The sequence below is a fragment of the Homo sapiens genome, chromosome 2, assembly GCF_000001405.40.
Source record: "Homo sapiens chromosome 2, GRCh38.p14 Primary Assembly".
In the NCBI taxonomy this organism is placed as follows: Eukaryota; Metazoa; Chordata; class Mammalia; order Primates; family Hominidae; genus Homo; species Homo sapiens.
Window position 1 is genome coordinate 159,753,748 of NC_000002.12, and position 22,553 is coordinate 159,776,300.

Here is a 22,553-nt window from a genome sequence, read left to right on the forward strand (position 1 = left end):
AGTCTATTATCAGAGCACTTGCTAGAGTTGGTGATGATTAACATGTAGCAGTGTGATCGTGATGATAGAATGGATAGATAGATTCTGGTATATTTTGTAGGTAGGTTCTGTAAGACATCCAGTTCAGTAAATTGGATGTGATGGAATGAAGGAGAAACAACAATTAGGGAAGCTCGTATTTTTGCCTTGAGCAGTTAAGTGAATGGCAGTTCCTTTTACTGAAATAGGAAGCTGAAAAGGGAACCAAGTGTTCTGTTTTGGACATTATATTTGAGCTACTTATTAGATAACCATTTGGAAATGTCATGTAGGCCGTTAGCTAGACAAGCCTGGCATTTCAGGAGATACACTGAAAGTTAGTTTCAGTTATGAACACGAGAGTAATAATGTTTGAGGTTTTGGTATTAAATAAGGTCAGCTAGAGGAAGAGCAGATATCAAAGAAATAGGCCCAGGACAGAGCCCTGGGATACCCAGATGTTTAGTGAGAACAGAGGAGATTTGAAAAAGCAGCCTTTAGGAAGGAAGAAAACCAAGAAAATGTGTTGTGCAAGCCAAAAGAAGAATGCTTTAAGGTATATGTGATCAACCCTGCACTTCTGAGAGGTCAGGTAAAATGAGAAGAAAGAATAATTGGATTTGATAGCATAGATGTTCTTGGTGGTTTCAGTCTCTGGAATGGTGGGTTCCTAAGCCTGATTAGATTAGACTGAGTAGAGAAAAGGAGGTAAGAAAGGATAGACAGCAACATAGGTTCGATACTTTGAACAAATTTACTACCAAGGAGACTGGAGATAGGGAACAGGAATTAGAGTTACATGGGATCACAAGAAGTGTTTTTGTTTTATTTTGAGGTAGGGGATTTTAAGGCATGTTTTTATTTTGAGACTTCTAACAGAAAAAAAAGTACGAAAAGAGGAGAAAGAAGATGGGGTCCAGAGCACAAGTTGAGTGGTTGTCCTATAATACGAGAAAGGATATTTCCTCTTCAGAAGGCTAGTGTTGATATGGGTGTTGATCAGTTTGTTGCTTTGATGGGAAGATTTATGACTCCCTGTGTTAATTGCATCTGTTTTCTTAGAGGTAAGGTCTTTAGCTGATAAGGAGACAGGTTAGGAGGTTTTGAGGTGTGAGGAAAATAACATTTTAAGGATGTGGATGTGTAGTAGGATTTCCAGATTGTATTAGTGTCTATAAAAGTGATTTTAAAGTGAGGTACGTGTACAATTTTTTTAAAGCAGTTTTCAGATGCTTGGGATATAGCTATGGACTAGAGTTCAATGCTGGTGGGTCTTTTGCCAGGCAAATATGATGAAGGGAGTTAAGGGTATCTATAAGGACATAATTGTGGCAACCATAGAAATTAAAACCAGGAGGAAAGTAAGGACCTCAGGAAGTGTATAGTGAGAAAGAGGTAGAGTATCTTTGGATTTTATTGACATTGACGTAAGTAGGCTAAAATAAGAATTGGTACACAGGAGGGGACGCTTAAAATGGCTATTTAGGGGTAGTGCAGCAAATTGTGATGAGGTCAAGGGTATGAACTGAGTTGGTGACTGAGGTGGGGAAGGGTAATATTGGAAGCAAAGATATTGAGAAAGTTATAATCCAGTGGGTCTGGTCTTGGATGTTGAAACAACCAAGGATTTAGTTGGCAAAGAAGGGTAGAGAGCCAGGTGCTGAAGTCATTAATGAATGAAGGGGGAATTAAGATTTGAAAACAGTAATGGGTGTGTTGGGTGGGCAACTACTCTCACTTCTTGGTCCTGAGTTACAAGGGACTGTGGGGATAAAATGGCTATAGAAGCATATATATAGGTATCGTTAGTCAGGAGGCACTGTGGTTCAGGCATGAAAGTAAAGAGATAGTTCAAAAAAGAAAGGTTGGTGGTTAGAGGAATTTACTGATATTAGACCACGAGTACCAGGGGACATAGAAACAACTAGTAAGGTAGAAAATTAGATCAGATTTTAAATGTACATAATTGTGAAATTGAAGATCTGATCATTATAGCATAGTAACATAGACAACTATGTTGTGAGGTATGATGGCACTGATTTTGATTTTCATAATCTGTTGGAGGAGTTGGGTTCAAGTTGGAGATTATGAGGATACTGGGAAAATTCCTGAGGCTCCCAGTAATGTGGTAGTCAAGTGGTGAGCAGTAGACCCCTAGGGGGCACAAGAGGAGAAAGCAGTATCTTTTCTTCTAAGCTAGTCTGAGCTCAAGGGCTCTGAACAAGCTGTCTCACCTGGAACTGCCTTTTCTCTGAGCTATATGGTGTTACAGTGACTCACAGGTTTTGTTAGTCACTGCCCTGAGGTGTTAGAAGGACTAAATGAGAGATTACATGTAAAGTGCTTAGTATTTTGACACTTAAGGGCCCAGAAATGTTAGCTATTACCAAAATGAACAACAACAACTTGACTCAACTTCTGATACACACAATTGAATTATTAGTGCTGGATATGGAGGAAAACAGATAATACAGGTTATTGTTTAAGAACATTGGCTTTTTGAAGTTAGACAAGCCCAGTTTGGAATATTTACTGGAACACTTAGCTAGCTATAGGGTCTTGAGCATGTTTCTTAACATTGGTTCTAAACCCTGGCTGCTGATGAGAATCACCCACTGGAGTTTTTAAAAATACAGATGGGCCAGGCATGGTGGCTCACACCTGTAATCCCAGCACTTTGGGAGGCTGAGGCAGGTGGAGCACCTGAGGTCAGGAGTTCAAGACCAGCCTGGCCAACATGGTGAAACCCCGTCTCTACTGAAAATACAGAAATTAGCTGGGTGTGGTGGCGCACACCTGTAATCCCAGCTACTCGGGAGGCTGAGGCAAGAGAATCGCTTGAACCCAGGAGGTGGAGTTTGCAGTGAGCCGAGATCACCCCATTGCACTCCAGCCTGGGTGACAAGAGTGACACTCAGTCTCAAAAAAAAAAAAAAAAAAAAAAAAAAACAGATGATTCAGATTCACTCTTAAAGATTCTTAAGTAGGACTAGGGTTGGGCCTCAGTTCCATCTTCAGTAAAATTGAATAATACCTCATAAAGTTAATGAATGTCAAAAGAGTTATTGTTCATAGTTTCCCACTGTACCAGGCACATGGTAAGTATGCGATTAAATTAAATGGGAGTTAGTTTGTTTTTGTTTTTTGAGACGGAGTCTTGTTCTGTCACCAGGCTGGAGTGCAGTGGCACAATCTCAGCTTACTGCAACCTCTGCCTCCCGAGTTCTAGTGATTCTCCTGCCTCAGCCTCCTAAGTTAGCTGGGATTATAGGTGCACACCACCACCCCTGGCTAATTTTTTGTATTTTTAGTAGAGATGGAGTTTTGTCAAGTTGGCCAGGCTGATCTCGAACTCCTTGCCTCAAGTGATCCGCCTGCCTCGGCAGCCTCCCAAAGTGCTGGGATTACAGGCGTGAGCCACCATACCTGGCCTGGAGTTAGTTTTATAAGGTTATAATAAGTGCTTTTCAAGATATGGCCAATTGAATGTATAGGTCTCAGCAACTGAACTTTCCTGATAGGCATCTGAGAAGTATTTCTCAGAGCTGCACAAAGATCCCATCTGGTAGAAGGTTCATTCTGGTAGAGATTTATTTAAGCATTTATTAAGAAGCTACTATGTTTGGATTGCTAAAGTCTACAGGATATACAAAGATGAATAAAATAAGTCTAGTACAAGTTTAGGCAGATGCAATTCAGGGTGTAATGGAGAGAGCCCTGATTAAGAAATATAGGAGTAGGCTGGCTGTGGTGGCTCACGCCTGTAATCCAACAGGACAAGGTGAGAGGATCCTTTGAGCCCATGAGCTAGAGGCTGCAGCGAGCCGTGATCATGCCACTGCACTCCAGGCTAGGCAGCAGAGTGAGATCTTGTCTCCAGAAAAAACATGTAGAAATAAATGGGTTGCTCCCGGCTGAGTGTAGCCTTTTTGAATGACCTTAATAAGTCTCTTACTCCATAGAGGAAGAAAATGAAGCCCTAAGATATAAGAGAATCTGTAGTAAATTATCTCCAAGGTCCATATTACATTTTCATGTATGCTAGACTCCAAAAAGACGCTTGGTTTCATTCATATACTCAAAATATAGTGAAAACTCAGTGTAATTTGACTACAGCCCATTTTGAGACAGCATACTTCTTCAGATTAGCACTCACTTTCAGCTGTTTTCTAGAAAATGTACATAAGTTACTGCTGTCTTGGACCTTATGCCAAATTTTACTCTTAAAAAATTCTGACACTGGTTATTAGAGTTTTATGAGCTCCTTGAAGGCAGGGCCTACTACTTAATCTTTTTTGAATCTCCAAAACCTCTAATTAATTGCTTGCACCTAACAATCACTCAACAAATGTTAGTTGAATTGAATTTAAACCTATCTACCCTAATTTTAAGGCCATTTTCCCATTTGAAACCCTCTCTAAATATAAACAAACAAAGGAAAAGGCAGAAAGAACCTACAAGTTTAATTACACAAGACTACTACCTACCAAATTGGAACCAAAAAGCTTAGGAATAATCAAATGTTGAATGAATATGGAAGTTTTCTTTTTCTTTTTAAAAAAAGGTTTGGTAAAAACAAGTAGATAAATAACATAAAATATGCCATTTTGACCATTTTTAAGTATACAGTTGGATCCATTCACAGTGTTGTGCAACCATCACTCCTATTTCCAAAATTGTTTATCATTCCAGACAGAAACGCTAACCATTAAGCAGTAACTCCTTACTTCCTATTCCCTTCTCTGCCAAATCCCTAGTAACTTCTGGTCTACTTTCTGTCTCTGTGAATTTGCATATTCCAGATATTTTATGTAAGTAGAATCATAAAATATTTGTCCTTTTGTATCTGTCTTATTTCATTTAGCATAATGTTTTTAAAGTTCATGTTGCAGCATATATAAAGACTAATTCCTTTTATGACTGAAGGGAGCTGTTTTTATTTGGACAAGGGTGGGGTCCCTTTTTTCCCATTCTAGCAAGTAAGGCAGACATATTCCTTAAACTCCAAAAGGTCTTAGGTATGTGAGGTATGTGTTGTCACATCAAAGATACTGGCTTGGGTGTGTAACTAGGTGTTTGAGATGTTACATCACTAAACATTGTTTTCATGGCATCACGTCAAAGTACTTAAGGAGGAAGTAGGAAGTACAGATGACATTCCATTGCCTCTGTCTGCTTCCCATGATCAAGGATGTATGAGTATCTGGGAGGAAGAAAACAACCAAGGTATCTAAATAATGGTGGTGGCTTATTATCATAGGGCAGGACCTGATGTGCACATTGGATATTATAGACTGCTGTATTAGGGGACATTACTGGTTTACTGCAGAAATGTAATATTTCCTTTTCTTCTTCTTTCCTTTAAGGTTTTATTTATTTTAAGCTTAAAACTTAACGAGGAAAAGTGTTTTATGAAGACATTATAAAACTAAGCTTTATTTGTAATTTAATTTTTACCAGGTTCTTCATTAGAAGCTGTAACCACCTGTGAACTATGTAAAGAGAAGTTGGAGCTTAACCTGGAGGATTTTGATATTCATGAACTACATAGAGCTCATGCAAATGAACAAGTTAGTATATTTTGCCTAATTTGGTAAGTGTCTATTCTATGCTTCAAGGACAGCTCTTGAAGAAAAGATTAAATCATGGTCAGAAACCTTGCATTAAAATAATAATAATAACAGTGATAATGTTCTTAACATAATTCTGTTACTGCATTAGGTGTTAGAATTTCATAATTTTTTTTTTTTTATTTTTCCCTTAAGCTTAGGAAAGTTGTTCCAAAATAGGGATGCCAACCTTATTTCCCCATAGCTGTAAGTTTTTTGAGATGCATAAATGATACAGTTTAGAATGAAGAGCTCAATAATTTCCTCCTTTTTCTTTACTGAAGGAAAATTCGGGAGGTGGGGCAGATGTGTATTTAAGGAGATTACAAGGGTGACTTTAGAGCCAAATTGTTGAAGTGTGGTTAGCATATTTGTTTAAAAAAAACAAACAAAGATATGCTGTAAAAGGAATGCATGAAGTGCTTGAAAAACACTTTTTGGCCAGGTACTACAATGGCTCACACTTATACCTAGCACTTTGGGAGGCTAAGACGGGATGACTGTTTGAGGCCAGGAGTTTGAGACCAGCCTCAGCAACATAGCAAGACCCGGTCTCTACAAAACAGAAAACAAAAACACTTTTTAAATGTAGGGGTAATGGGCCTCCCCTCTTTTATTATATTGAATGAGATTTACAAAACATAAAAACCATTTTGTGCAGCCGCCATCTCTGTTTAGTTCCAAAACATTTTCATCACTCCAAAAGAAAACCCTCTACCCATTAAACAGTTGCTCCCCATTCTGTGCTCTCAGCCCCTGGCAACTACCAGTCTGTGTTGTTTTATGGATTTACTTATCCTGGATATTTCATACAAATAGAATCATACATTAATATATGATATTTTCTGAACCACTTTTTTTTAAATGTGGGAATAATAGATACCCTTTGAAAATCTGATTAAAACTATGTACCCTTCTTATAAAATATATAGACACAAATTCTGTCTCTAAGGGATTCCCAGATCCTTTGAAGCTAATTGCTTGGATCCAGATAAAGAATCACTGATCTAAAGAATGAAAACATTAAGCAGTTAATGTAGCACAGGTGCTACTCTAATGCCAGTTATGTTGTTTTATTCTCTGATGCACTAGTTGTCCAAAAAGAAAATCACTTTCAGCAATGAAATGTTTTAAATCCCCAGGGAGTTCTCTGTAGCTGGCTGAGCATTGGTATTTAAAAACCAGGGGAAACATGGAAAAGTGGAATCATGGAGAGATAAATATAAATACATAACTTGTCTTCTCAAAATGAGAGTAGCTTTCAAAAGGTTTGTTTCTCCTGCCATCTTCCTTCCTGAGATGCTTCATCCTGTCTCTCAAAGGCAGTTTTTTCCTTTTTTGTTTTTGTTTTTGTTTTTGTTTTTTGTTTTTGACTCGCTCTGTCATGCCTTTTCCTTTTTGATCTCAGGAATGTTTTTATTTTCTAAGCATTTTAATGACCCATATTCTTTAGAAGTTTTAGGAAATATTAGGTGGAGTCATTGTAAAAACAGTGACAGCCTTGATTAAACTTTCTGGTTTTAACTTGTTTGTTCTGTATGAATAATAGATTCTAGTGGCCTGATAGCTACACTGATTTTAAGTGATTAGTTTAATAAGTCTATTTCCACATTAACCAGTGGCTTGATCTTTTGCAAGGTGATAACCATTTAATTTTTTTTTTTTTTTTTGAGATGGAGCCTTCCTTGTTGCCCAGGCTGGAGTGCAGTGGTGCAATCTCAGCTCACGACAACCTCTGCCTCCTGAGTTTAAGCGATTCTCTTGCCTCAGCCTCCCAAGTAGGTGGGATTGCCACCCGCCTCCACACCAGGCTAATTTTTTGAATTTTTAGTAGGGACGGGGCTTCACCATGTTGGCCAGGCTGGTCTTGAACTCCTGACCTCAGGTGAGCCACCCGCCTCGGCCTCCCAAAGTGCTGGGATTACAGGCGTGAGCCACCGTGCCTGGCCCCGTTTAAAATTTTTTAAAAATGTTCTGGATATATTATTTCAAGTTAAAAATAAGCAACAATAATTATTAAGTGAATCATTTCTTTTTTTTTTTTTTTTTTTTTTTTTGAGACGGAGTTTCACTCTTGTCACCCAGGCTGGAGTGCAATGGCATGATCTCGGCCAACTGCAACCTCCACCTCCCGGGTTCAAGCGATTCTCCTGCCTCAGCCTCCCAAGTAGCTGGTGTTACAGGTTCCTGCCACCACACCCAGCTAATTGTATTTTTAGTAGAGATGGGGTTTCACCGTGTTGGCCAGGCTGTTCTTGAACTCCTGACCTCAAGTGATCCACCCACTCCAGCCTCCCAAAATGCTGGGATTATAGGCGTGAGCCACCGCACATGGCCTCAAATTTCTTGAATACTCAGTAGACTCTGATAATCAGTTACTTGCTGAAGTTGGTACTAAGAACATAGAGTTCTTAACGTCTGATGAACCAGTTGCCCAATTCAGTTTGTAAATAGTTCACTGTAAAAATTACAGGACAGATTAGATTATTAATAATACTATATTTATGATTTGTATTCATGGCTTGAAAACAACTGTGGGGGGAAAAGAGAAACTTTTAATCTGAGGAATATGAGCCCCTTTAAATTGTCAGGTTCAGAGAGGTATTTAAAATGTAACAGCATTCTCATCTCACTCTCCCTTGAGCTAAATACGCCACTTGCTTTGGGGCCTCTAGACTAACTAGTGCCAAGTAGCTATAAAATGTCATATACCCTATAGTTCAATAGTGTATAGCCAATCACTAACCAATGTTATTTCTGTAAACCAATGTTGAGAATTCAGAATGAACAACTTTTGTTATCTCTCCCTTCCTGATTTGTCCTTTTTTCTTTAAAAATTTGAGCCTTTCTTTTGTTCTCTGGAGCACTCTCCCCAAGGCAGCTTGGAAGTGGGAGCCTGGCAGCAGTCCTGAACCTTGACTAAAATAAACTCTGTTAAATTTCGTCTCAGTTTCTTCCTTTTAGGTTAACACAACAGAACAGTTTTGAATTGAAGAACTGTTTTTACCAACTACAAATTTCTGTGTGAATGATTAATCTCTTACCTTTATTAATTCATTCTTTTATTTATGCCTTTATGTTCATCATATTACACAGAAAAACACTTGAGCTATCAGAATAGATTTTAGTTACAGCAGTATATTGGCATAGCTATAGATGAAATGTAATTTTTAACTAAATATATATAGCTATAGCCATTTGTATAATGAAATCTATGAGCTTTATAGAAAACCAAAGCATTCATTCCACCATCAAATTATTTAAAAGTTCCATTTTTATATAAAGTCATTACACTAAAGAAGACTATGTGAGAATAAAAAGTAAAATTTTATGAAATTATAAAGATATTCTTTTTTTCTCAATAAATGGCATTGTGTCCCTTATTAGGAACTGGATATGAATACATTTCCTCTAGTTTATCAGTGTACTGTGAGTATCAATCTCAATTCTACTAATTTTTCATTCTCTGTATTTTTCTTTTCTCCTGTTTGCTTCCCTGTTGAAGGCTGAGTATGAGTTTATCAGCTCTGGTCTCTACCTAGTGGTGTTATTGCACTTGTGCGAACAAAGCTTTTCTGATATGATGGGAAATACAAATGAACCAAGCACACGTGTCCGAGTAAGTAATAATGAAGTTGGGGAGAGGGAGGGTATGATGCAGCAAGTGTATGCCTTGGAAAGCAGATTGTTTCATATGTTGACATCTTATTTCCTTTGGGAAGCTTTTATTTTTTAAATGTTTCTTAAAAATAAAGATACCGTAGATTTAATGGAAATTGCTGTCTTCTATAACAAGCAGCCTGATTTTCTCATAAAGTTATTTTAGAGAAAGAAGTAATTTTCTAGCTCTCAAAGGTAATTGGAATGTATTTCATTGAAAAACAGAATTGGAAACATCGAGGGAAAATGGGCTTTTTATTATTAAAACAAAACCTCAGTATTATCACTTAGAAACCTGAAATTGAACTCCAAAAGCCAAAGAGTATGGGAAATTAACTTCAATTTATTTGTTACTGTTCTACAAAAGATTACCAGTGTACTAATTTTTAAGTGTCCATATTACAAAGTATTTTAGATATGGAATAGTTGGTTGTTTACTGTGTGTGCTATTAGCCATAATACAACATTTTGGCCAGCTGTATGTTAGGTATTTATAAGTAAATGATGCTCTTTGTGTCAGTGTACCAGAGGAAACTTTATGCTTTGCTGTCTGGGCCATTTTGTGTAGCAAGGGCTAGGGTCTCTATGTATCTGCCATTATTGTAGCATTCTGAACACTTCATGTCTTGAAATGTGTTCATAAGTATATCCTTCAAACTTTCTTACATGTTAACTTCGGTGATAAAAGTGTAGTAGAGTTCATGTAATGTTTTTATTTTGAAAATTATCAAATAACTGCAATTCAATGTATGTAATACTCCTTCTAAATTAGTAAAAAATTTTTCTTTATTTTATCATGTGGACATTATTCCAGTGAGCTGGTTAACAGATAATTACCATTGAAGAGCATTCATATTATCTATCAAGAGCATTCAGAATTTGAGCAAAGATCTCTTGACTTCTAAGTACTTTACAAATTGTGAGCCCCTAAAACCTTAATACCGTAAAATGATTTCTAAAAAGGTACCTTAAGTCTTCAGGATGAATAAACCATATAAAACATTTAAGAACTTCTGAATTCATGTGTTTTTAAAAGTTCATATTAACAAGTTTTACAGTGGAAAATTACAGAATTTTGGATGATACTCCAAAGTGGAAGTCATTAGGATTTTTTTTAATGTATAGAACTGTATACTTTTATCAAATTTAGGTAGGAAAATATTGGTTCTTGGGAGTTTTGTGTGTGTGTGTGTGTGTGTGTGTGTGTGTGTGTGTGTGTGTGCGCGCGCCCACTGAAACTGAATTTATTTGGGTCCAAATACAAGGGTGGTTTTTTGTTTTTTGTTTTTTTTCCTCCATTTCGTAATTTTTTGAAGTGTTTATAAGAAGACAATATCATTGGATAAAATTATTGTATCTGCTCCCAATTTTAAAAAACTGGTTTCTACATGATTATAAAGATTATATAAAACATTTAAAAATTAATGCCATTAAGCTTGTGATTTTTGATGTTAGGGGGAGAAAAACCCCTATTTAAAGGCTTAAACTGATGTTTGACTTTTTAAGTAGAAATGAATCTCCTATACTGATTCTCTCTTTAGATCCATTTGCAACATTTAAACTACTGTATTTCTTTCTGCATTGTTTCTAGTTTATTAACCTTGCAAGAACTCTTCAGGCACATATGGAAGATCTCGAAAGTAGGTGGAATTTCCCCTCCCCAGACTTGTTGAATTTACTTTTGCAAATTAAACCCAAAGCAAAACCTAAGTATATACTCTGTTCTGCCAAATTAGAGCTCATTTATAGGCTTAGTAATACCAAAATGATTGATTTGGGAAATATGGGTTGGGAAACTGACATTAGTTGTTTTTTTTTTTAAGCATATTTTAAGGTATGGAAGCATGTAATTTTAACTGCATTTTACTTTTTTTTTTCAAAGAGAAATTTATTGTTGATCACCTTGATTTCAGGATTTATAATAAAAAAGGCATAAATCTTAACTACTAATCAAACCAACATTTCTTAATCTGTTAGGATTTTGTTTTGTTTCGTTTCTGGTAAGAAATTTTACCTGTTACTCAGGTTTGTTAGATCATAAGAGATTATTCCTGGGCTTACCTATGATTCCAGGAAAATATGGGACAAGGAGTCCTAATTCTGAATCCATATCAGAAGCCATGAAGGGCTTTGTTTTGTGGGTTTTTTGTTGTTGGTGGTGGTGGTAGTGGGTTTTTTTTTGGCTTTTTGTAGGTCCTCATGGACCTTTAATAGGTAGCCAGCTCTGCCAACAGCTCAAATCTCTTAAGATCACATTCCAGCATCAGGATTTCTGGCTGGGATTATAAGTGAAGGCACTTAATTCTCAAATCTCTACAGGCATCTATACAGCCTACCCTCTTCTTAATGTCCTGTAACTTCCAGTGTGCTTCATACCATGTGGGCATAGGTATTGGTGGCTCTGGAATAGTTTCTAGAAATTGAAGATTACCCCACCCAACCCCTACATATTTTACTTTTTCACCCTTTGTTGCCCATTCCAAAACACTATCCAAAGTGTCTTTTTAAAATACGTATTCTTCAGTTGAATACTTCTATACTCATCTTCAGACTATTTGGAGTGTTATCTATAGTGTGCATAACATTTTTACTTTTAGAGAAAGCTCAGCATCCTTTGAAGTAAGGTTTAAAAAGGACTTAGTCCTCATAGGAACTTTTTAATTCTAGATAATCTAAAACATAGATTTTTGTCATTGTCTATACTACTTTCAAGTTTTTAAAGGTTTTGAGATGAAACCAGGTAACATATTTTCACAGTTTTAATTAGGATATGTGAAAAGAAAGGAGTCAGTGTGAATTCACTTGGTATAAAATTTTTTCCCTTTATACCTTCTTTCAGATCCCTTAGGTTGGCCTAATACAAAGGTCTCTTCTTTGTTTTTTTAAATTACAATTTATACTTTGTCCAACGTCATGATAGTAATTTGTTTCAGTGTATGTTTTCCCCAGATTTCTCCATTTTAAAAAACTAACATTCTCGTTTAAAATTTAGTTTCTTAAACATAGTATTGTCTGCTCCTAACATGTGGGAAGAAAAAGATGGAGGTGAAATATGTCCATACTCAAATAAGCATGAAAGACAAGGGTGCTGCAAGTTAACCCCTAAATATCAGAGTATTAGTACATTCTGAAATGGGTTCTGACTAAATTATCCTCTCCTGTGGAGTGGAGTTAAATGGAAAAACACAAGAAGTTCCTTAATAAGCTGTAATTTTTTAGTTTGGTATTTCTCAGTGATAGAGCATAAAACTTAACAGTAGAGTTTATTATCAGTCATGACTTAGTTATATGCTTTGTCATTTATTAAATGGATTTAAATCTATTAGTGTTGCATAGTTTTTCTGTGCTTTGCCCTAGGTTGATTCCATTTGTTGGATGCTCTTAATTTGTCCAATGTAAATATAAAAAGAGAGGGCATTAAACCGTTTTGCCCTATAATGGGGGAAAGATGCTGGTTAGATGTTTATTTTAGTGAGCTTGCATTTTCTTACACGTGCAAAGCAGTTCATAGAATTCATAGTTTTACACTTACTATGTCTTTCCTAAAGACACCCAGGATGCTTTATTTTTAACTCTTGAGCCACTAGTGACTCTTGAATAAATTGAGGTCAGAAATGTTGCAAAAGTGGTAAGTTTCTGGCAGTGTGGAGACAGGGGAATAATCTCAACAGTAGGTTTTTACTGAATCCAATTATTTTAATTTAGGCTGTGTCTATATGAAGCTTTTTTGACTTACTAAATGAACTTTTATCTTGGCATTGTATAGACATAGCTTTGATGTAAATTGCAAGAACACCCATAACCTCTTATTCTATGTACACTTCTTTTCATTCTCATCGGATGCACCAAACATGCAGCGGTAATAAGCCAGATTTTACTCAGGTGTGTGAGAGCACTTGCCTTAAGTTGACTTTTTTCCTAGTGTTTATATATCATTAGCTACTATGAACACAGATTGATCTCAGAAACATTTTAGAAGATGCTCTTGAACCACATTTTTAAGCACTTTCATTTTTATAAAAATTGATATAACATTACAAAACGGTGTGGGGGCGGGGAGAATTGTGGTTGGGTATCACCCACAGGCAGACCACCCTAACCCTGTCATACAACTTATCATTTTGATCAAACAATATACTAAATTGGGATTTTTGTTTTTACAAGTCATTGCTGTTCTGGCTTCATATTTACACTTCCCATTCTTATCCCCCTTAAAATCATTCTTGATCATCCTGTTTTCTTTCAACAGCTTCAGAGGATGATTCCGAAGAAGACGGAGACCATAACAGGACATTTGATATTGCCTAACTTCATATAAGACAGATGGATGATCTGTGAACATAAGTGTTTATTAAAAATGGCAATTAAATATAAATTACTTTTGTGGGGGAATGCCTAATAAATACATTGACTATATATAAAATGAATATATACATACACATGTATGCCTGTATATATATATTCATTCTCCAGTGTTGCTGAATTAAAATTCTGCTGGACTTTTTAACATAGCAAATCCGATGTTTATAAACTGGTAATCAAAAAGGTTTTTTCTTTTAGGTGAGTGGGAAAGTATTACCCTTGTTTTAAATATCTAAGCAATGCCTATCAACCCTTTTTTGTGTTATGATTACTGTAGTCATATTTATGAAAAAAGGTTTGTGTTTTACTCTTGCTAGTGAGAAAAGTGGGACAAAATATACTTTTGAAATAAAATGCTATATGGCACCTAATTATTTTTTCTTTTAAAATGCCTTAAGTTGCAGTCTCATTTTGATAATCATTTGCTTCCAGTGTTTAAAAATTAAAAAAAGAATGGGGAGAAGGTTATGAGAAGAGCATTATTAAGTTTCCAAATTTAATTTGAATTCCAAATTCACCTAGCAATAAAATCTAATTTTTAAAAAGTATATAAATATAAAATGTATAAATGATGGATAGATTTTTGTATTGATTTGCAAAATGCAGATTATATTTGATAGGCTATAGTATGTAGATATTCCTTTTAGGAATATTACAGCTGTAAATTATATGAGACTTGCCAGTCAAATGCTATTTGGTTTAAAAAAATTATTGCAATCTCAAGTTAATGGAATATTTTTAAATCCCACATTCAGAGTTTAAAACACTGGTTTTCAATGTGTTTTTTAGTGTTGTCACTTGTTTATAGATAAATATATAAATAACCTGTTTGGATCCTGGTCCTTTTTAACTGTTCCTTGGTAATTCTGAGCATTTATTTGATGACTTAATATTTTTCACTACCTTTGGAGAACAGATGAACATTATTCACCATGAATGGATCTATACTGTGTGGTCATGAGTTGTGTATACTTCCATAACACTGTATTTTTCTTCTGTCAGTACCCTTAGGATACACTTTAAAACACCTTAAGGTCTGATGTTATGGCAACAAACTACTTTTTCAAACCTAAATAGGAACCATGTAATTTCTCAAAAGTGATTGAACAGTTTGCCCACACTTAGTTTGTTGGTCTTATGTAAAACATTGGCTCAAAATAAAGTACACACTGATTTATTTTACTGTTTGAAATGTTTCCTTTTAAACTGGTGCTCAAAGAAGACATCAGACTTCATAACCAAGAATTTTATTACAATTTCAAATCTCATTTTAAGCAATAATATAAATGTTCTAAAACATTTGCTCACCTCTTGCCAGTTACCTTTGCATTGTCTGTCTTAAAGCAAAAATATAAAATTTAAGGGTGGTAGTTTTAATATATTCTGTGGGTCCTAAGGGATGCTTTGAATTTGAAGTATATATACTTTTAATAAAATTCAGTATGACAGTTGTCTTCTGCTTAACCCATAAAACTTTATTTAAAAAATTTAACTAGATGGTACAAAACATTCATTGGTATGCACATAATTCTGTATAGTTTTGTTATTAAATGCTAAATGACAGTGATAACAATGGCTTAAGCTTTACAGTATTCTTGTAGTTCCCTAGTACCACTTAGTATTTAAATATTGTCATATTAGCTTCAGATTATCATGTAAATGACGGTAGAGGAATAAGAGAAAAGGCTTTCATTGGTTATCAGTTTTAAATTCTGAACAAAAGAGACCATACACTGCTCACTACAAGAATGCAATTTTCTAAGAAAATGTAGTTTAAAATGTTATTCTGAATATCTGCCAAAGAATTATATTGTTATTACTAGCTAGAACCAAGATGTTGAAGAAAGCAGTTTCTACATTCTGGATGTAGTAAACAAGCCTGCCTGTGTAATCCAATTATCTCTTCACTAATGAGTAGATAAGGTGCCTGTTATAGATGTTCTGGTATATAAAGAAAAAATGTAGGCCAAGTGTGGTGGCTCACGCATGTAATCCCAGCACTTTGGGAGACCAAGGTGGGTGGATCACTTGAGGTCAGGAGTTTGAGACCAGCCCAGTCAATATGGCGAAACCCCGTCTCTACCAAAAATACAAAAAGTTAGCTGGGTGTGGTGACAGATGTCTGTGGTCCCAGCTACTAAGGAGGCTGAGGCAGGAGAATTGCTTGAAAACCTGCAAGGCGGAGATTGGAGAGAGCCAAGATCGAGCCACTGCACTGTAGCCTGGGCAGCACAGTGAGACTCCATCATATATATATATATAGCACTTCATTACCAGAGGCCTCTTGGCCTGTTGAAAAATGAAACCAAATATTGAAAATTAAATCAGAGTTTAAAGCAGCTATTTTGGAAGAGCTGCCATTAGGTAGAAAGTATCAAAATGTACAAAAGAAAGTTGTATGGGAGTTGAGTGGAAGGTAGGATTTAAGAGCAGCACTGCCCAATAAAACTTCCTATAATGAAAATGTTCTATAATGTATGTTGCCCAGTACAGTAGCCACTAACCACCTGTGATTTGAACACTTGACAATGTGGCTAATGTAATTCGAAAACTGGATTTTAAACTAAATTTACTTAAATAGCCTCATGTGGCTAGTGGCTCATTGGACATTGTAGTTGTAGACGTTTGAGACTGTTGGTTTTAAGTTGGACTTAATCACTTTCCTACCCAAATTCTACCACTCCTTTAAGAACTCCTTTAGAACTCTTTTAGTTCACATAATACGCCATATTTTTTTTACTGTGCCTGTAGTTCTTCAAGGAGTGGTACAATTTGGGTAGGAAAACCAGGCAGGAATTCCAGGGTAGTGTTCAATATTGACATTAGTAATAGTCTATCAATAATAAAATAGACATCTCAATCACTATACAAAATCTCAGAAATGTAAAGCTCTTACAGAGCATGCTTGTGCTTGTGTAACAGCTGGTGTAATGCCTGCATTTTCAGTACCATGTAGCCGCACTGTTAATAGTTTTCTATCACTTTTTAGTTACTCATGTCTCATTAATGATAGTGCCATTAATTGTGATGAGTGTTTTCGATTCATGTGGTCAATAAAAAGAGACTACACAAGCTGGAACTTTGTTGCCATTAGTCAAGCTAGTGAGATAGTATATCTATCTATCTCCCCAGAAGAAAGTAAGATAATTGATGGGGTGTGGATTCAGAAGAGGGATTACTTTTCTTTGAGCCTCAGACTTCTAGACAGTATACTTCAGTCAGTAATGGACCACATATAGAACAGTGTTTCCTTAGTAGACCATATTTTTACTGTACCTTTTCTATATTTAGATACACAAATATTGTGTTACAATTGTCTGCAGTATTCAGCACAGTAACATGCTGTGTAGGTTTGGGACAAAATAGGCTCTACCATCTGGGTTTGTGTAAATACAAGCTGATTTTCACACAAGATTCCCTAACTATGCATTTCTTAGAACGTATCCCCATTGATAAGTGATACGTGACTAATTTACGTGAAATTTATACATTCTTTATCTTTCCTGTTTTTGGTTTATTGATGGTGAGGAAAATTACTCGTTTCAGCTTTTTCATTTTTTTACTCCCCAAATGATTTTCACCTTTTTCTTAAAATGTACAATAAATGCACTGAAAACTTTGATCACTGTCACTACAGTTGTACTTAAGTGTTTTTCTTCGGTTTTTGCTTGCACAGTTTTCATGTCATTGAAGGAAAAATTTATAAATGCTTGAGGAGAATGAGATACATCTTGTATAGGGGAAAGTACAAAAGGTATGGTGGCAAGAGAGAAATCCTTAAAGGGGCACTATAATATGTAAGTGTTAACCTAATTGCCAGCTTTCTCTATGCCATCCTGGACACAGCGATCATATTTTGTTTCAAATAATTTATAAACATTCATTAAAACTTGAGTCATTTGTGATAAAATGGTGTGTGTAAAAGTAATGAAACTAAAATTGGTGTGGGGTGTTAAAAGTTGTAAAATTTTCTTCATCTAAATCATAAAAAGATACACATTCTAGAGGAATTATCTGCCAAAAAAATAACAATTATCAAAGATATTTAAATGTATGGGATGTACTTAAAATCACTTATTCCCCATTTCATGTTTACTAATAAACATATAAACTAAAGTGGGTCAACTAAATAGGGAAGATACAGCAGGCAAGACAAATAGGCTGGGCTTTTATTTTTATCTGCTTGGGCTTTAAGCTTTCCTTCATTCAAGTGACAGATTCTGCCTTTGACGGGATGCTTAAAATCACTATATTAGATCTAAGATCATTTCTAAAACCTGTTTTTTTAATGAACCTAAAGACTTTTCACAGCAGATGAGTACATAAAAATGTTACTGGAATAAGGAATACCATTAAAGCTCTAATATCCAATGTCAAGTTTTATATTAAAATCTTTCCCAAGTTATCTCTGCCAGGGCATTTTGTTGATGTCTTAGTGCAAGATTACCAAAAACTTAGTCAAATTGAACAGGATATTCATTTTCTTCTCCAACTACCAAAACACAGTCTTCATTATAAGGTGATTGGGGTGCGGTTGAAAAAACTGTGGTGAAACGAGAATCAGAATGTTTTTTGTACAGGAACCAAATGATTGCTCCCAAAACTGTCAAAATTACCGTGCTAGCAATCACCAATGCTGATATTAAAATGTGGTTATCTGAAAAGGAAAAGACAAAAGAGTATTTGGGAAATTAGGGTACACAAGTTGCAAGTATATTTTGATGAGCACAACTGTAGTTTTGTGTAAACATTTCTCTGTGTTGAGAATTTCCCACACTGATGAGAAAACCAAAAATTTCGCATTTGTTACTAACAAGATTTATATTTCTTAGCCTGAAGAATAGTACTCAAATTTTCTAGGAAGTTGTGCACTTCTCCACTCTACTGAAGACCCCATAGTGGAAATCACGCAAGTATATACCATGCTCCAGTTTGTCTTCCTTCGCTTTACTTTCTGATCTAAGACTACAAATTCAGACCTACTGTTCCCTTTAGGAATTCTAGTATTTAGATAATGTGTTACATTATTGAGGTTTAATGGTTCACCTGGCTTTGGGGATTTAAGATTTGTTTAACTGAAAAAAACACCAAGACCTGCAGTAAAGTACCTGGTTTTGTGTGTCTTTGCATTCATTCATTCTTTGTGTGTTTCCCTAAATTTCTGTAAGTATGCACAACTTTGCAGTTCTTGCCTATTCAAACCCTTGTAATCTTTCTATAAGAATCCAGTTTAATAAATTGAGGAAAATAACCTGGTTTAGGAGAACAAACATACTTTTGGGCAGGTACTTGTATTATGTATAGTAATCGACTCTAAAGAATGTGAAAACTTTTCAGAATTATTTTGACAGATTTTTTATTATTAAATATATTCATAATACCCATTATTTCAACTGGTGCTTGTTAAAATGAGACCTGGAAGAATTTAAGATTAGTGAGAGAAATTTGGCCAAATTATTTGTTAAAGTGAGGGAGAGCCATTGATACTTTTCAAATATTGACAGGATTTTTTGGGAGGAGTGAGGAAATGGCCCCAAGTGAACTATCTTTTTAATTCTGAAATAAAATTTGGTAGTAAAGATTTGGTAAGGTGTGAGGGTGGATTTGGTGGTGGTATTATTAAAGACATTAAAATGAAAAAAAGCCAAGAATTCCGTAAACTGAGTTCAAATGGGGTTCTTCCATAGTTTTTGGCTACGGCAACCTCCGCCTTCTGGGTGCCAGGGATTCTCATGTGTCAGCCTGGGTAGCTGAGATGACAGGCGCACGCCATGATGTCCAGCTAATTTTTGTATTTTTAGTAGAGACAGTTTTGCCATGTTGCCCAGGTTGGTCCGAAACCCCTGGCTTCAAGTGATCTGCCCCCCTCGGCCTCCCAGAGTGCTGGGATTACAGGTGTGGGCCACCGTGCCCAGCCCCGTAGTTAGTTTTATTAGAATTAACATAGTCCATTTTCAGTGTAGAACCTCAACTTTACCAGTGTGAACACACTTTATTTCAGTGTACTAATGATTGTACAATAATGGCTTCATAATCGGTAGCATCTACTTTAAATAGGAATTACATGATAGTAATATAGAAAAGTCTGAAAGATCATAGTAATTGAGAAATATTTACAGACTCAATCATAATAGCTTTAAAAGACCGGGTATCCTAAGAACTGGACAGTGTCCAAGATGGGCGAGACACAGTAAGTATATATGCTGCTTTTCACATTCTGCAAGTGACCTTTAGCCAAAGTTGCCTCCAGGGGTTTTAGTTAGCTAGCTGCATACTACTAAAATGTGTGACAAAGTCAATTGTCAAGGCAACTGATAAGCAGTGTATTAAAACAATGTGTAGTTTATATCTGGAGGTTAGGATAGTTTTACATTAGGAAATGTATTATCTACCTCATTAATTAAAGGAAAGGTCCATTGCTTGCTTGACAGCATATAATAGCTATTTACCATGAAATCCTGTTTTTTTTAAAGAAACAAAATTTAGGAAAAATACTTTTTAGCCTAACAATGTTCCTTACTTGAGGAAACAGCAAACACTGAAACAAGCTCACTTTTTCATTTCTTAAGCCCATTTAATCCATTTTCTCAACATTTCTTCAGAAATTTCTGTGGCAGAGGTCACCAATGATCTCTTTATGACTACATGCTTAAACACGTGGATGTTTTAGTTCATCCTGGGGCAACTAGATTGTTAGCCGTCCAGCCTTGAAGTTATCTCCTACTCACTTGGCTTCCCTGACTGCTCTATTTTTCAGACGACTGCTTCCTAGTCATCTTTGTGGACTCAAAGCTTTCCATGGTTGATCTCAACCATTCAAGTCTTTTATGTAAATCCATAGATAAATATGTGTGTGTAGCCCTACTTCCAAATTTCTTCTAACCTGAATTCCTGCAAATAAATAGCCACTGTCCAGTCAACCAATCTGGAAATTTATAGACTTCCTCTCTATAAATTGTGAAGACTACACATTTTTCTTCTGTTTCCTATTTATCTATCTGACTGCTACCTTAACGCTCTAGTTCTAACACTGATCATCTGAGGCCCGAACTATACATAATCCACCTCAAAAACTATATGAAACATTTTGTTAGGCTGTAGCCTCAGGTGAGAGTGCCAACTGTGCATTTAATTCTGAGGCACAGGGTTTAAATGACTTGCCCAAGTCCATTTAGTAAGTGACAGCAAAAATTCAACCCTTCACCTTGGTCCTGATTTGTCACCTCAGATAACCTGTCCTCTGTCTCCTGCCTGATGTCTACTTATCCTTGAAGATTTAACTCCTGCATCCTCTCCAGTAACCTTTGCTGAACCCAGCTTGGACTAACTTGACCTTTCCTGTGTGCTTGCCACACTAGGTGCATCCGACTATGGACACCTTAATTCTGTTGAAAGTATTCTTCCCAAGGGAGTCTTCCAGCTTACCCTTGGTATGAAGGGGAACTCCCTGTTTGCCAAGATGGCAGCTACACTTAACTGTTGGGTTGTTTCCTTGCTGCTTCAACTCCATGTTCTCTACTGTTTTACTCCTTAAAGTCAGACTAAGCCTAATCCCTATCTACATGACAGGCTTTCACTTTGACTTTAGGTCTTCATTATGCAAAATCATGGCCTTATTAAATGAGGCCTTCCCTGGCCACTGTACTAAAAATAAAAATAAAGTGCAACACCTCCCTTCTTGCACTGGAATTCATCCTTATCTGCCTGTTTTCCCTATAGGATGTGTCACCATCTCACATAGTTTTGTTTTACCCTTCCCACTAGAATGTATGCTTGAGAGCAGAGGCTTTTGTTTTGTTCATTGCTCTGTCTTCAATGTCTAACTTTAGGAGAAAGCCTGACACATAGTGTTTACTCACTAAATTACATACACATATTTAATACAGATTTACATGCACATATATACATGCATACATGTAATGAATTCAGAGATTACTTTTCTTGTAGTCTGAAGACCATATGTTGCCAGATCTTTCAACTATTCGTTTTTGAAGCCACAGACCTATTTTTTTCTAAATGTTCCAACTTATGTGTATCTTTATTTTTTCCAAAGTAATACATTTACGTAGCTTAAAAGTCATAGTTCTAGAAGATACGTAGTGAAAATACTGTGCTCCTGCTCCACTACTCACCTGAACATCCATTCCTTAAAGTTAACTACTACTGTTGCTTCAGCTATTTATCTGTCTCCATGTCTAAATAACATGCTTCCGCTGCTTGATTTTTTAAAAATGTAATTTAAAGAAATACATGTAACAAATACCATCTTAGGTGTGCAGTAGCATTAAGTACATTCACTTCGTTGTGCTACATCACCACCATCCATTCACAGAACAACTCATTTTGTAAAATGGAAACTGTACCTATTAAACTCCCATTTCTTCCTGACCTAACCCTTGGCAAAGAGTTTCTTGGTGAGGTTGACTACTTTAGGTACCTCATACTATAGGTAAGAATTATACAGAATTTGGCCTTTTATGACTGGCTTATTTTTCTTTTTTTTTTGTGGTGGTTTTGTTTTGTTTTGTTTTAGATGGAGGCTTGCTCTGTCTCGCCCAGGCTGGAGTGCAGTGGAGTGATCCCGGCTCACTGCAGCCTCTGCCTCCGGGTTTCAACTTTTTTTTTTTTTTTTTTAAAGTAGAGTCGGGATTTCGCCATGTTGGCCAGGCTGGTCTCAAACTCCTGACCTCAGGTGATCCACCGGTCTCAGCCTCCCAAAGTGCTGGGATTACAGGCGTGAGCCACTGCGCCCGGCCTGTGCCTGGCTTATTTTGTTTAGCCTAATGTCCTTCAGGTTTATGCATGTTGTAGCACGTGTCAGAATTTTCTTCTCTTTTAAGGCTAAATGATACTCAGTTGTATGTGCAGATTACATTTTGTTTATCCCTTCATCAGTGGACACTT

General features: G+C 36.1%; 3 protein-coding genes across 58 annotated transcripts in view, besides 1 other annotated feature; 1 reads left to right on the forward strand and 2 right to left on the reverse strand.

The window, feature by feature from the left end:
- MARCHF7 (membrane associated ring-CH-type finger 7) overlaps positions 1-17,280 on the forward strand; it is a 58,522-nt gene extending 41,242 nt beyond the window's left edge. For 19 of the 53 annotated variants that reach the window (NR_164789.1, NR_164790.1, NM_001376241.1 and 16 more), the window contains 4 exons: positions 5,479-5,588; positions 9,133-9,246; positions 10,879-10,927; positions 13,537-14,826. Coding sequence is in view for 46 of the 53 variants with exons in the window: in NM_001376241.1 (NP_001363170.1) it covers positions 5,479-5,588; positions 9,133-9,246; positions 10,879-10,927; positions 13,537-13,595 (332 nt within the window). In the remaining 7 variants the exon portion in view is untranslated. Of the gene's footprint in view, positions 1-5,478; positions 5,612-9,132; positions 9,247-10,878; positions 10,928-13,144; positions 13,170-13,536 lie in introns of all 53 variants that reach the window. The other 34 variants (XM_047445513.1, XM_047445527.1, XM_047445524.1 and 31 more) reach the window with 7 other exon arrangements.
- Positions 8,043-8,212: an enhancer, noted in NCBI's record as "experimental_53909 CRE fragment used in MPRA reporter constructs". NCBI's record gives its function as "activates a minimal promoter by MPRAs in K562 erythroleukemia cells, with activity observed for both the introgressed and non-introgressed 2:160618386 variant alleles {active_cell/tissue: K562}" and the evidence as "EXISTENCE:reporter gene assay evidence [ECO:0000049][PMID:34662402]".
- LY75-CD302 (LY75-CD302 readthrough) overlaps positions 14,881-22,553 on the reverse strand; it is a 136,129-nt gene continuing 128,456 nt past the window's right edge. For both annotated transcript variants that reach the window (NM_001198760.1, NM_001198759.1), the window contains one exon: positions 14,881-18,306. In NM_001198760.1, the coding sequence (NP_001185689.1) occupies positions 18,104-18,306 (203 nt within the window). In that variant the 3' untranslated portion in view covers positions 14,881-18,103. The remainder of the gene's footprint in view (positions 18,307-22,553) is intronic.
- CD302 (CD302 molecule) overlaps positions 14,881-22,553 on the reverse strand; it is a 29,581-nt gene continuing 21,908 nt past the window's right edge. For all 3 annotated transcript variants that reach the window (NM_001198764.2, NM_001198763.2, NM_014880.5), the window contains one exon: positions 14,881-18,306. In NM_001198764.2, the coding sequence (NP_001185693.1) occupies positions 18,104-18,306 (203 nt within the window). In that variant the 3' untranslated portion in view covers positions 14,881-18,103. The remainder of the gene's footprint in view (positions 18,307-22,553) is intronic.